Source organism: Homo sapiens, chromosome 11 (assembly GCF_000001405.40).
Source record: "Homo sapiens chromosome 11, GRCh38.p14 Primary Assembly".
Taxonomy (NCBI): domain Eukaryota; kingdom Metazoa; phylum Chordata; class Mammalia; order Primates; family Hominidae; genus Homo; species Homo sapiens.
Window position 1 is genome coordinate 66,824,587 of NC_000011.10, and position 14,345 is coordinate 66,838,931.

The window sequence follows — 14,345 nt, forward strand, 5'->3', positions numbered from 1 at the left end:
CCTTCCCCCCTCCCCCCACCCCACAACAGGCCCTGGTGTGTGATGTTCCCCTTCCTGTGTCCATGTGTTCTCATTGTTCAATTCGCACTTATGAGTGAGAACATGTGGTGTTTGGTTTTTTGTCCTTGCGATAGTTTGCTAAGAATGATGGTTTCCAGTTTCATGCATGTCCCTACAAAGGACATGAACTCATCATTTTTTATGGCTGCATAGTATTCCATGGTGTATATGTGCCACATTTTCTTAATCCAGTCTATCATTGTTGGATATTTGGGTTGGTTCCAAGTCTTTGCTATTGTGAATAGTGCCGCAATAAACATATGTGTGCATGTGTCTTTATAGCAGCATGATTTATAATCCTTTGGGTATATACCCAGTAACGGGATTGCTGGGTCAAATGGTATTTGTAGTTCTAGATCCCTGAGGAATCGCCACACTGACTTAATTTCGTATTTTCAGTAGAGACGGGGTTTCTCCATGTTGGTCAGGCTGGTCTCAAACTCCCGACCTCAGGTGATCCACCCGCCTTGGCCTCCCAAAGTGCTGGGATTACAGGCCCGAGCTACTGTGCCCAGCCGGATTAGTGCCTTTATAAAAAAGGCCCCAGGCCGGGCGTGGTGGCTCATGCCTGTAAGTAATGTCAACACTTTGGGAGGCCAAGGTGGGTGGATCACCTGAGGTCAGGAGTTCCAGATCAGCCTGACCAACATGGTGAAACTCTGTCACTACTAAAAAAAAAAAAAATACAAAAAAAATTAGCCAGGCGTGGTGGCAGGCGCCTGTAATCCCAGCTACTTGAGAGGCTGAGGCAGGAGAATCACTTGAACCTGGGAGGTGAAGGTTGTAGTGAGCTGAGTTCGCACCATTACCCTCTAGCCTGGGTGACAAGTGCGAAACTCTGTCCCAACCAAAAAAAAAAAGGCCCCAGAGAGACCCTTGCCCCTTCTGCCATGTGAGGACACAGGGAGGAAGTGGGCAGCCTACAGCCCAGAGGAGGGCCCTCACCAGAACCTGACCATGCTGGCACTTTAATTTCAGATTCCCTGCCTCCAGCACTGTGAGAAATCAGTTTCTATTGTTTATAAGCCACCCAGTCTATAGGAATTTGGTATAGCAGCCCGAATGGACTAAGACAGTGTCAAAGTGCATAGCATACGGTAGATTCTCAATAAATGTTAGTGTTTCCCTTCCTTTAGGAATGTGTGCTGACCAACTGGTATTATCAATGGGCAACTTATCATTCCATATTTGTTGCTTTTTTTTTTTTTTCTCTGAGACAGTGTCTCGCTCTGTCGCCCAGGCTGGAGTGCAGTGGCGCGATCTCAGCTCACTGCAAGCTCCGCCTCTCAGGTTCACGCCATTCTCCTGCCTCAGCCTCCCAAGTAGCTGGGACTACAGGCGCCCGCCACCACGCCCAGCTAATTTTTTTTGTATTTTTAGTAGAGACGGGGTTTCATCGTGTTAGCTAGGATGGTCTCAATCTCCTGACCTCGGGATCCGCCCGCCTTGGCCTCCCAAAGTACTGGGATTACAGGCATGAGCCACCACGCCCTGGCCTGCTTCATTTTTTTGGTATAGTTTTCTTGAAAAGCTAGTATAACACAAAAAAATTTTAAAATAATAACTAATAAAATTTATCACTATAATTTTTACTCATTATCTCATATATATTTGTAACCAAAGCATTCTATTTTCATATATAATTTGCCATTTTCCCCATTTCAACAGTCTTAGAATTTTTAGTTAATATCCCACTGTATTGTTTAAATCTAATTTAATAAACCATTCCTCTGTTAGACATTTGTTTACATTCTTGCTTATATAGTGGTTCAGTTAATACCTTTATGTAATATCTTGCTTCTTTTGAATTATTTTCTAGAACAAATTTCTATAAATGGAGTTATGAGTCAAAGTGTATAACACATTTATAAGCTAGTGCATTTTATCATAGCTTCAACTTTCTGGGTCATGTGGATAGCACAGGGTAGTGAAAAGAACACTATATTGGGAATTCTAAGGTATCCATTAAAGCCCTAACTTTTGTACTAACTAGCTGTGAGATCTTGGGTGGGTCACTTCTTTTTTTTTTATTTTTTATTTATTTATTTTTTTTGAGACAGAGTTTCGCTCTTGTTGCCCAGGCTGGAGTGCAGTGGTGCAATCTCGGCTCACTGCAACCTCCGCCTCCCAGGTTCAAGCAATTCTCCTGCCTCAGCCTCCCCAGTAGCTGGGATTACAGGCATGTGCCACCACCCCTGGCTAATTTTGTATTTTTTAGTAGAGACAGGGTTTCTCCATGTTGGTCAGGCTGGTCTCAAACTCCCGACCTCAGGTGATCCGCCTGCCTCGGCCTCCCAAAGTGCTGGGATTACAGGCATGAGCCACCACACCTGGCTTTTTTTTTTTTTTTTTGAGACGGAGTTTCGCTCTTGTTGCCCAGGCTGGAGTGCAATGGCGCGATCTCGGCTCACCACAACCTCTGCCTCCCAGGTTCAAGCGATTCTCCTGCCTCAGCCTCCCGAGTATCTAGGATTACAGGCATGTGCCACCACGCCTGACTAATTTTTGACTCTCCTGCCTCACCCTCCCAAGTAGCTGGGATTACAGGCATGCGCCACCACGCCCAGCTAATTTTGTATTTTCAGTAGAGACAGGGTTTCTCCATGTTGGTCAGGCTGGTGTCAAACTCCCGACCTCAGGTGATCCACCTGCCTTGGCCTCCCAAAGTGCTGGGATTACAGGCGTGAGCCACCGCGCCCAGCCCACTTCTCCTTTTTGAATTTCAATTTTCTCATCCATAAAATTAGTGTGATGTATTAGGTTATTACCCTGGTCCCCTTTAATTCTAACATCCTATAATTATATATTTAAAAGTAGAAAGCTGTTACCTATTTCCTGTGGGTGCAAACTGTATTATTTTGTTCCTCTCCTCCCTAAAAGACTCGTCAGAAAAAAAAAAAGTCTCATATCAGCCTCAGTTATGCAGTAGAACCTGTGCTGTCTTGGAAACTCTTCTTATAGAAGAGCAGTTTATATAACCCCTTCATGAACAGATGGATCTTCTGGATATTTATCTCCTACAGAGATGGGAGAACAGGCCAGGCGCAGTGGCTTACACCTGTAATCCTAGCACTTTGGGAGGCTGAGGCGGGTGGATCACCTGAGGTCAGGAGTTCGAAACCAGCCTTGCCAACATAGTGAAACCCTGTCTCTACGAAAAATACAAAAATGAGCCGGGTGTGGTGGTGCATGCCTGTAGTCCCAGCTACTCGGGAGGCTGAAGCAGGAGAATCACTTGAATCTAGGGGGCGGAGGGTGCAGTGAGCCAAGATTGTGCCACTGCACTCCAGCCTGGGTGACAGAGCAAGACTCTGTCTCAGAAAAAAAAAAAAAAAAAAAAAAAAAAAGAGAGATGGGAAAACAAAGACCTTCTTTGAAGGATCTTGCTTAGATGACAGAAGTGGGAAGACATATAGGAGCCACAACTGCCTGTCTTACACCAAGTATCTCAGGCCTTCTTTTTTTCTCTACTGCCTTCATGAAAACTAAGAAAACTCTTAACTTTAATGGCTTGCCTACTGTCTGCCTCCTCATCTCCCTGTATAAACTTTCTGTGAGAACTTTCCCCCTTGGTTTCCAGTACTGGAACTCAGCATGTTCTATTTCTGGCCCATTTTAGGCAGCTGACACACAAGAGTTCAGGACCAAACTGCACAAAGTATTTCGTGAGATCACCCAACACCAATTTCTTCACCACTGCTCATGTGAGGTGAAGCAGGTAAGTGTAAATAATCAGTACTTTGGTGGGAATCTTCCATTTTGATATATGGGAATCCTGAATTGAGGGTGGGTAGGTACAAGTGTTTCAGACTGCATAATCTGAGGTCAGCCTTTCAGCAAGGAAGTCTGTGAAACAAAATCATCTGTTTTCTATCTCTCAGGAATGACTATCCCACTGGTTGCCTGGTGTCCAATGTCTTGAAAACCGTTGTTTCATGTGTTGTATCCAGGATTTTTGTTATTTCAGGCAGGAGGGTAGATTCAGTCCCCGTTACTCCATCTTGTCCAGAAGACACTGTAGGATAATTTCATCTTTAATTTCTCTTATTTATTCATCCTACATTTTTAGTTCCAGATAAGTCAATCGTACTGACTGGAGCCAAGAAAGCCAGAAAAGTGGGCTTCAGTTAGACAACTACTACCAGCTACACCTGGAATCTGGAGAAACAGAATTTCCTGCTAGGATCTCCGTTCACTCATTAGAGGAGACCATCACAAAACCAGTTAAAAGCTATTTGACCTCCTTGAGGGTAAAGACCCCAACTAAGGAAATTCTAGATCTCCAGCATCCAAAAAGGTGAAAAGATAAAAGTGTGTGTGTGTTTTTTGTTTTTTTTTTTTTTGAGATGGAGTCTCGCTCTGTTGCCCAGGCTGGAGTGCAGTGGCATGACCTCGGCTCACTGCAACCTCTGCCTCTGTCTCAAAAAAAAAAAAAAAAAAAAAAAAAAATTAGCTGAGGCCGGGCATAGTGGCTCACACCTGCAATCCTAGCACTTTGGGAGGCCAAAGCAGGTGGATCACTTGAAGCCAGGAGTATGAGACCAGCCTGGCCAACATGGTGAAATTCTGTCTCTACTAAAAATACAAAAATTAGCTGCATGTGGTGGCACATGCCTGTTGTCCCAGCTACTGGGGAGGTTGAGATACAGGCCGCGTGTGGTGGCTACGCCTGTAATCCCAGCACTTTGGGAGGCCAAGGTAGGTGGACCGCCTGAGGTCAGGAGTTCGAGACCAGCCTGGCCAACATGGTGAAACCCTGTCTCTACTAAAAATACAAACATTAGCCGGTGTGGCGACATGCACCTGTAATCCCAGCTACTTAGGAGGCTGAGGCAGGAGAATTGCTTGAACCCAGGAGACAGAGGTTGCAGTGAACCAAGATCACACCACTGTACTCCAGCCTGGGCGACAGTGAGACTCTGTCCCAGAAAAAAAAAAAACAAAACCATGATACAGAGGGGCTGGGAACGATGGCTCATGCCTGTAATCCCAACACTTTGGGAGGCCGAGGCAGGTGGATTACTTGACCCCAGGAGTTCAAGACCAGCCTGGGTAACATGGCAAAACCCCATCTCTACAAAAAAATAGAAAAATTAGCCAGGCATGGTGGCACATGCCTGTAGTCCCAGCTACTCGGGAGGCTGAGGTGGAAGAACTGCATGAGCCCAGGAGGCAGAGGTTGCCGTGAGCTAAAATCATATCACTACACTCCAATCTAGGTGGCAGTGGGACCCTGCCTCAAAAATAAATAAATAAATAAATAATAAATAAACAAACATAAAACTAATAGAACTATAAGGAGAAATAGACAAATCCAAAATTATATTTTGAGATTTCAACATAATTCTCTCAATAATTAATAGTTATGATAAGCAGAGACAGTCAGAACAATGCTTTCAATCACTTTGACCTAACTGGCATTTATAAAAACACTCTGTTCAACCACAGAAGAATATGCATTCTTTTCAAGTGCACAAGGCACTTTTAGCAAGATAGAACATATTCTAAGGCATTAAATATGTCTCAATACATTTTAAAAGATCTAAGTCATAAAAGTATGTTTCTGACTATAATAGAATTATTACAGCAAAATCAATAAAAGAAAGCTATCTAGAAAATCCCCAAATATTTGGAAACTAAATGACACATTTATAAATAACCTATGAGTTAAACACAGAAATCAAAGGGATATTAGAAATATTTTAATTTAATTAAATGGAAAAGCAAATTATCAAAATTTGTGAGATGTAGCTGATGTAGTATTTAGAGGGGAAAATGCCTGTGTTAGAAAAGAAAAAAGGCTCAAATCCATGAGATCACTTTCCAACTGAAACTAGAATAAGAAGAGCAAATTAAACACAAATTAAACAGAAGAAATGAAATAATAAAGATCAGAATGGAAATCAGTAACATAGAAACCAGAAAAACAATGGAGAAAAATCAATGAAACTAAAAGGTGGCTCATTTAGAAGATTAATAAAATTGATAAACATTTAGCCAGACTAATCAGAATAAAAAGAATGAACACAAATTATCACTATCAGAAATCAGAAAGGTAGCATCAGATATTAAAAGGATTATCAGAATATTTTGAACAAGTTTACAGTATATTTTACAACTTAGATGAAATGGACAAATTCCTTGAAAGATACGAAGCCCACTCAAGAAGAAGTACCCCTATATACCTGATAGCACTGTATCTGTTTTTAAAATTGAATGTTTAAAAACCTTACCATAATATCCTCAATATATAAAGAACTCTTAAAACTCATTAATAAGAACACAACTCGGTTTTTTTAAATGGACAAAATATTTGAACACACTTCACGAAAGAAGCTACAGATACACAAATGGCAGATAAAGACATAAGATGCCCAACATCATCAGTCACAACAAAGGTTCAAAAAAGAACCACAATGAGATAATCATTTCATACCACTGGAATAAAAGGACTGACTATACCACATGTTAACAAGCATGTGGAAGAAAGAACTCACATACACTGTTTGTGGAAATGGAAAATGGTACAAGCACTTCGGAGAACAGTTAGCAGTTTCTTAAAAAGTTAAATATATACCTATCATATGACCTAGCTCTTTCACTCCTAGGTATTTACCCAAGAGAAATGAGAACATATCTCCACACAAAGAATCATACACAAATCTTCATGGCACTTTTGTTATAGCCCCAAAAATGAGAAACAACCCAGTATCAACAGGTAAATGGATAAAAAAATTGTAGTAGATTCATATAAAGGAACACTATGTGGCAATAAAAGGAAAGAACTATTGATACACACAGTGACATGGATGAATCTCTGAATAGCATGGCAAGTGAAAAAATCAAAAACTAAAGGAGTACATACTGTTTGATTGCACTTACATATAATTCTATAAAATGCCAACTAATCTACACAGGTCAGTGGTTACTAGAGGATGGGAGGTGGGAGAGTTGGAATGATTATAAAGGGCAGCAGGATGCTTGCAGGGAGATGAATATGTTCATTATGTTGATTGTGTGATGGTTTCACAGGTATGCACATGTGTACTTAAAAATTGTACATTTTCGGCCGGGTGCGGTGGCTCACGCCTGTAATCCCAGCACTTTGGGAGGCTGAGGCGAGTGGATCACGAGGTCAAGAGTTCAAGGCCAGCCTGGCTAAGATGGTGAAACCCCATCTCTACTAAAAATATAAAAAAAATTAGCTGGGCATGGTGGCAGGCAACTATAATCCCAACTACTTGGGTGGCTGAGGCAGGAGAATTGCTTGAACCCGGGCGGCAGAAGTTGCAGCGAGCTGAGATCATGCCACTGTACTCCAGCCTGGGCAACAGAGTGAGACTCTGTCTCAAAAAAAAAAAAAAAAAAAACAAAAAATTGTACATTTTCTATGTATGCAGTTTACTCTGTCAGTTTATATCTCAACAGTTATAACAAGTATGGACACTTTCTTTTTTTTTTCTTTTTTTGAGACGGAGTCTCACTCTGTCGCCCAGGCTGGAGTGCAGTGGCGTGATCTCGGCTCACTGCAAGCTCCACCCCCCGGGTTCACACCATTCTCCTGCCTCAGCCTCCTGAGTAGCTGGGACTACAGGCACCTGCCACCATGCCCGACTAATTGTTTTTTCTATTTTTAGTAAAGACGGAGTTTCACTGTGTTGGCCAGGATGGTCTTGATCTCCTGACCTCGTGATCCTCCGGCCTCGGCCTCCCAAAGTGCTGGGATTACAGGCATGAGCCACCGCGCTATGGACACTGTTTCTGAGAAAATGAGTAACAGGGCCTTTGGTACCTCCTCTGCATCTGCTCTGCCCCTTGTACTTCTGCTTTCCTGATTGGGTGGGGAAGTTTAGGTGCCCAGGCACCCAAGGATCAAAGCATCTTATGGACTTTACCATCCTCCTCTTCAGTGTGATTAGAGAGGCACAGAGCAGCAGTAAAGCCGTTAGTGCTCCCTTCACCACCCCTTCCATGGCTGGCTGTGCCTTCTACGATGCACTTCCCAGGAACGTGTCCACTGTTCCTTTCAGCTGCTTCACCGCAAATACTCTTGCCAGTTTCCCTCGGACTTGGAAAGCCGCTGTCCACGCCTTGCGCAAATAAAGCTAAAATCCATTGTATCAGTTTCCTGGGATGCTGTCAGAAATTAACATCAACTTGAAGGTTTAAGAACAATCCAAATTTATTGTGTCACAGTTCTGGAGGCCAGAAGTCCAAAATCAAGGTGTTGGCAGGGCCACACTCCTTCCAAAGTTTCTAGAGGAGAGTGCTTCCTTGTCTTGCCTCTTCTAGCTTCTGATAAAAACTGTACCTTGGTTTCTTGTAGTTTGCATAACTCCAAACTGTAACTCCATCTTCACATTGCTTTCTCCCTGTCTCTCAAATCTTTCTGCCTTTTTTTTTTTTTTTTTTTTTTTTTGACACCGAGTCTTGCTCTGTCGCCCAGACTGGAGTGCAGTGGCAACGATCTTGGCTCACTGCAACCTCCGCCTCCTGGGTTCAAGTGATTCTCCTGCCTCAGCCTCCCGAGTAGCTGGGATTACAGGCGCCTACCACCATGCCCAACTAATTTTTGTATTTTTAGTAGAGACGGGGTTTTGCCATGTTGGCCAGGCTGGTCTCGAACTCCTAGCCTTAGGTGATCTGGCTGCTTTGGCCTCCCAAAGTGCTGGGATTACAGGCAGGTAATTAGGGATTTAGGGCCCACCCTAAATCCAGGCTAATCCTGTCTTGCGATCTGGAATTACATGTGCAAAGACTTTTCTCAAATAAGCTCACATTCACAAATTCTGGGGGTTAGGATTTGGACATATTTGGGGTGGGGGAGAATGCAGTTCACTACAGCCATCCACATCTTCAGCTTTCTAGGGACAGGTTCAGGGTAAGGCATGTGCTGTTATCATAGGACCCAGGATATAAGCGCAGAGGGACTCCTCAGGATCTAGGAGTGCTTCAGCCTCTGAAGTACTTTTACTTGGGCCTCTGTGGTATCCCAGTAAGACCTAAAAAAGATAATCTGGGCCAGGTGCGGTGGCTCACTCCTGTAATCTCAGCACTTTGGGAGGGCAAGGCAGGTGGATCACTTGAGGTCAGGAGTTTGAAACCTGCCTGGCAAACATGGCAAAATTCCGTCTCTACTAAAAATAAAAAAATTAGCCAGGCCTGTTGGCACACCCTTGTAGTCCCAGCTACTCAGGAGGGTGAGACATGAGAATCGCTTGAATCTAGGGGGCGGAGGTTGCAGTGAGCCAAGATCATGCCACTGCACTCCAGCCTGGGTGACACAGCAAGACTCTGTCTCAAAAAAAAAAAAAGATCTGACCTCTTTTACCCTGTTCTTTTGCTATAGTCATGGCTCATAGCCTCAGGGCCATTCATAGCCCAATTAATTTGGCATATGGCTAGTGAACTCAAGGTCTTACCAGTAGTCATAGGTCTTGGAAAGAAGGAACACTTACTGAATCCCTAATCTGTGCCGAGATTTTCACTTTAATCTCTGCAAAGATGTTATAAATTAGGTCATAGTTTTCCCATTTTACAGATGAGGAAACTGATTACAGAACTTTCATAATTTGCCCAGAATCACAGTCAGTAAATAGCAAGGCTAGAATTTGTACCGAGAGCTCCCGGCTCTGAAACCTGGTAATATTGTTAACACAGAGGACTAGGTTGCAAGCCCAGGGCAGATGAGTGATCCAGGTCATTGAGTAGAACCCATGATTCTCCACTCAACATCCTCTGGTAATGGCCATTTAGTGATAAATAACTTGTTAGTGGTACAAGAGTGGCACCCAGTGGCTTCAGCTAGAACTACAAGACTAAGGATGATAGGTCAAATTCTTTGACCTCTGGGCCATTCTGTTTCCATTTCTAAACAGGAAAGGTAGAATAGCTGACCTCTTGAGTAACAGGGAAGAAAACCATCTATTATATGCTTTATTGAGAAACTGAAAAAATGAGGGAGTGTGTATTCAGAGTGAACATATTCAGGGAAAGGTCATGCAGGAATGGAGAAGGTATTATTTTTGTTTTTATTTTTTTAGAAACAGGTTCCCGCTATGTTGCCCGGGCTGGAGTGCAGTGACTATTCATAGGTGTGATCATGGTGCACTACAGCCTCGAACTCCTGGGCTTAAGTGATCCTCCTGTGTCAGCCTCCTGAGTAACTGGAACTACAGGCGTGCATCACTGCACCTGGCGAGGAGTGGATATTTTAAGCCTGAATGTTTGAACAGAGACAGTGGGCCAGGAAGGAGTGAACAAGATAGTACTCCAGGGTTTAGTGTCATAGATATATGTAGGGACTGAGAACTTAAACCCAGAATGAGCAGGAGTAGTATCAAGGAGGCAATTTTCTAAGGAAAGGCATTGTTTCCGGCGGGTCGGGGGAGGGGGTAGACTAGAAATAAATGTCCCATAGAATGTTAAATCCAAGGTGTATTCTGAGGTCAGGGCTGTCTTATCTGGGGGACCAGGTGATGAATGAAGGGTGTGCAAGGCTACCAGAGAGGCCCAGAGCTTCATATCTCAATGCGGGTAGTTCCTTGATAAGACCAATTTCAAGATAGGAGAAAGATTTATCTATGACACGAGATTTTCCAAGCTAAAGCCAAAAAAAAAACCAAGTTCTGTCTCAAGATAAAAATATTTAGAAAATATCCTGTTTCTTTCTTTATGTCTTTAGAATTATTTTTGCCCCTCCTATGTTCCTTGGAATATAATTACTTGGGAACTAAAACTTGTTTTAGTAAACAATATATGATAGATCTCTCATGGAGATAATTCATATACCATAAAATTTACCACTTTAAAGAATAAAACTCATTGATTTTAAGTATATTCACTGTGCTGTGCAGCCATCGCCACTAAAATTACAGAACATCTCCATCATGCCATTAGCAGTACCTATTCGCAGTGAGTCCCAGTTCCCCTCTCCCTTCAACCCCTGGCAACCACTAGTATGCTTCCCATCTCTGTGGATTTGCCTATTCTGGACACTTCATATAGATGGGACCATACAACATGGGCCTTTATGTGCCTTCTTTCATTTAGCATGTTTCTAAGGCTCATCTATGTTGTACCATATAACAATTTCATCCATTCTTTATGGCTGAATAATAATCCATTGTATTGATATACCACATTTTATCCATTAATTAGTTGATGAACACAAGTTTTTTCCACTTTTCGGCTATTATGAATATGCTGTTACGAACAGCATATTTGTGTGGACATGCTTGTAACTGTCTTGGGTATATATCTAGGAGTAGAATTGCTGAGTCATATGATAACACTATGTTCTAACTTTTTAAAGAACTTTCGAGCTGATTTCCACAGTCTGCATCATTTTACATTCCTGCCAGCACTGTGTGATGGTTCCAATTTCTCTATACCCTCATTAACTGTTGTCATTGTTTTTCTTACTGCCATTCTAGTGCATGTGAAGTAATTTCGTGGTTTTGATTTGCATTTCTCTAGTGAATACTGATGCTGAGTATCTTTTCCATGTGCTTATTGGCCATTTGTATATCTTCTTTGAAGAAAGGTCTATTCAAATCTTTTGCCCATTTGCTGTTGTTGTTGTTGTTGAGACGGAGTCTCACTCTGTTGCCCAGGCTGGAGTGCAGTGGCGCTATCTCGGCTCACTGCAAGCTCCACCTCCCGGATTCACACCATTCTCCTGCCTCAAGTAGCTGGGACTTACAGGCGCCCACTACCACGCCCGGCTAATTTTTTGTATTTTTAGTGGAGACGGGGTTTCACAATGTTAGCCAGGATGGTCTCAATCTCCTGATTTTGTGATCCGCCCACCTCGGCCTCCCAAAGTGTAGGGATTACAGACGTGAGCCACCGTGCCTGGCCCTCTTTTGCCCATTTTTAAATTGGTTTGTTAAATTATTGAGTTATGAGAGTTCTTTACCTTGGGCCAGGCAAGGTGGCTCACACTTGTAATCCCAGCACTTTGGGAGGCGGAGGTGGGAGGATCGCTTGAGCCCAGGAGTTTGAGACCAGCCTGGGCAACATAGTGAGACCTCGTCACTACAGAAAATATGATTTTTTTTTTTTTTTTTTGAGATGGAGTCTTGCCCTGCCACCCAGGCTGGAGTGAAGTGGAGCATTCTCAGCTCACTGCAACCTCTACCTCCCGGGTTCAAGTGATTCTCCTGCCTCAGCCTCCTGAGTAGCTGGGATTACAGGTGTGCGCCACCACGCCTGGCTAATTTTTGTATTTTCAGTAGAGACGGGGTTTCACCATGTCGGTCAGGCTGGTCTCAAACTCCTGACCTCATTATCTGCCTGGCTCAGTCTCCCAAAGTGCTGGGATTATAGGCGTGAGCTACCGTGCGTGGCCTATAAATAAATTTTAAAAAGAGTTCTTTAATTTGGGTAACAGTACCTTAGCAGGTATGATTTGTAAATGTCTTCTCCCATTCTTGTGGATTGACTTTTCACTTTTGTTCATAGGAAGCACAAATTTTATTTTATTTTTATTTTCTTGAGACAGAGTCTCACTCTGTCGCCCAGGCTGGAGTGCAGTGGTGTGATCTTGGCTCACTGCAAGCTCTGCCTTCTGGGTTCACGCCATTCTTCTGCCTCAGCCTACCGCATAGCTGGGACTACAGGCGCCTGCCACCACGCCTGGCTAATTTTTTTGTATTTGTAATAGAGACGGGGTTTCACTGTGTTAGCCAGGATGGTTTCAATCTCCTGACGTCATGATCCGCCTGCCTCGGCCTCCCAAAGTGCTGGGATTACAGGCTTGAGCCACTGCACCTGGCCGAGAAGCACAAATTTTTAATTTTTTTTTTTTTTTTTTGAGATGGAGTCTCACTCATCACCCAGACTGGAGTGCAATGGCGTGATCTCAGCTCACTGCAACATCCACCTCCCAGGTTCAAGCAATTTTCCTGCCTCAGCCTCCTGAGTAGCTGGGATTACAGGAGCCCACCACCACAGCCAGCTAATTTTTGTATTTTTAGTACAGGCGGAGTTTCACCATGTTGGCCAGGCTAGTCTCGAACTCCTTACCTCAGGTGATCTGCCTGCCTCGGCCTCCCAAAGTGCTGGGATTACAGGCATGAGCCACCGCGCCTGGCTATGAATTTTTAATTTTGAGGAAGAAGATACCTATTTTTATACATCTGTATTCTTGAAAAGGAGCTGGGAGGATTGGGTTCTGGTCTCAGTAAGAACCTCTTTTTCTCTGTCCAAATTATTGAACTAACCAGTGTGGCAGGGCTCTAGGAGGCTACCGATGACTACAGAATATACCCTGTGGCTTCCCAGGTTTGACTTTCTCAGTCAAACTTACCTGGTGTAAGGCACTCTGCTAGCTGTAAAGTGATAAAGGCATGATGGCCCTTGCCTTTGAAGGGATTTAGGGTGTAGAAAATGGACATTTGCACATTACTTGATGAATGGGCACACAGGATACTTGCAGAGTATGCAGAGCCCGAGGAATGGGCAGGCAGTAGCCAAGAGACTGGAGCTCAGAGAAGAAAGGATGTGCCGTGAATGGCCAGAGTGGAGAAGGATCCACAGAGGGAAACCTTGAAGACTGGAGGGTGGGTAGGGGGATTCATGAGCCAGGAGGAAGAGGGAGTTCCAGGTGAGGGCAGATAACCTTGTGAGGTCAGTGAAGCCACCAGGCACACTCCTGTTTCACTAGGGCTCGTTCATGTTTCTACAAAACTCACTTAGGACTTCTAATTTTTTTAAGCAGCTAACCCTAGAAAAAAAGGACTCAGCCCAGGGCACTGAGGACGCACCTGATAACAGCAGCCTGGAGCTCCTAGCAGGTAAGGTTTTAGCTTTTCAAGTGAGCCCTGGACTGCAGCAGAGGAAGTAAAAAACGTGAGTTCAAACTTTCAAACTATTCCACTGTACCTTCTACTACAGCGGCGTCCTTCTGCAATTTAGTGGGCTGTTGCTGCCACTGTGGGTCTTCAAGGCAGCAGCAGGTCTTCCCTCCCCAAGATGTTAGGACAGGACTAGAAATTTGTATTAAAGTCTGTGCAGTTACAGATAGCTGCACATGATGGGGTGGGGGTAGGTAATACGCAGATTCAGGGCCCTGAATTTTATTTTATTTTTATTTTTTTGAGACAGAGTCTCACCTCTGTCGCCCAGGCTGGAGTGCAGTGGCGCCATCTCGGCTCACTGCAAGCTCCGCCTCCCGGGTTCACACCATTCTCCTGCCTCAGCCTCCCGAGTAGCTGGGACCACAGGCGCCCGCCATCACGCCCGGCTAAATTTTTGTATTTTTAGTAGAGACGGGGTTTCAC

General features: G+C 43.8%; 1 protein-coding gene across 2 annotated transcripts in view; it reads left to right on the plus strand.

The window, feature by feature from the left end:
• TOP6BL (TOP6B like initiator of meiotic double strand breaks) overlaps window positions 1-14,345 on the plus strand; it is a 98,748-nt gene that overhangs the window by 79,818 nt on the left and 4,585 nt on the right. The window contains exons 14-15 of one of the 2 annotated variants that reach the window (NM_024650.4): window positions 3,680-3,778; window positions 13,781-13,859. In NM_024650.4, coding sequence (NP_078926.4) covers window positions 3,680-3,778; window positions 13,781-13,859 — 178 coding nt within the window. The remainder of the gene's footprint in view (window positions 1-3,679; window positions 3,779-13,780; window positions 13,860-14,345) is intronic. The other variant, NM_001302084.2, reaches the window with a different exon arrangement.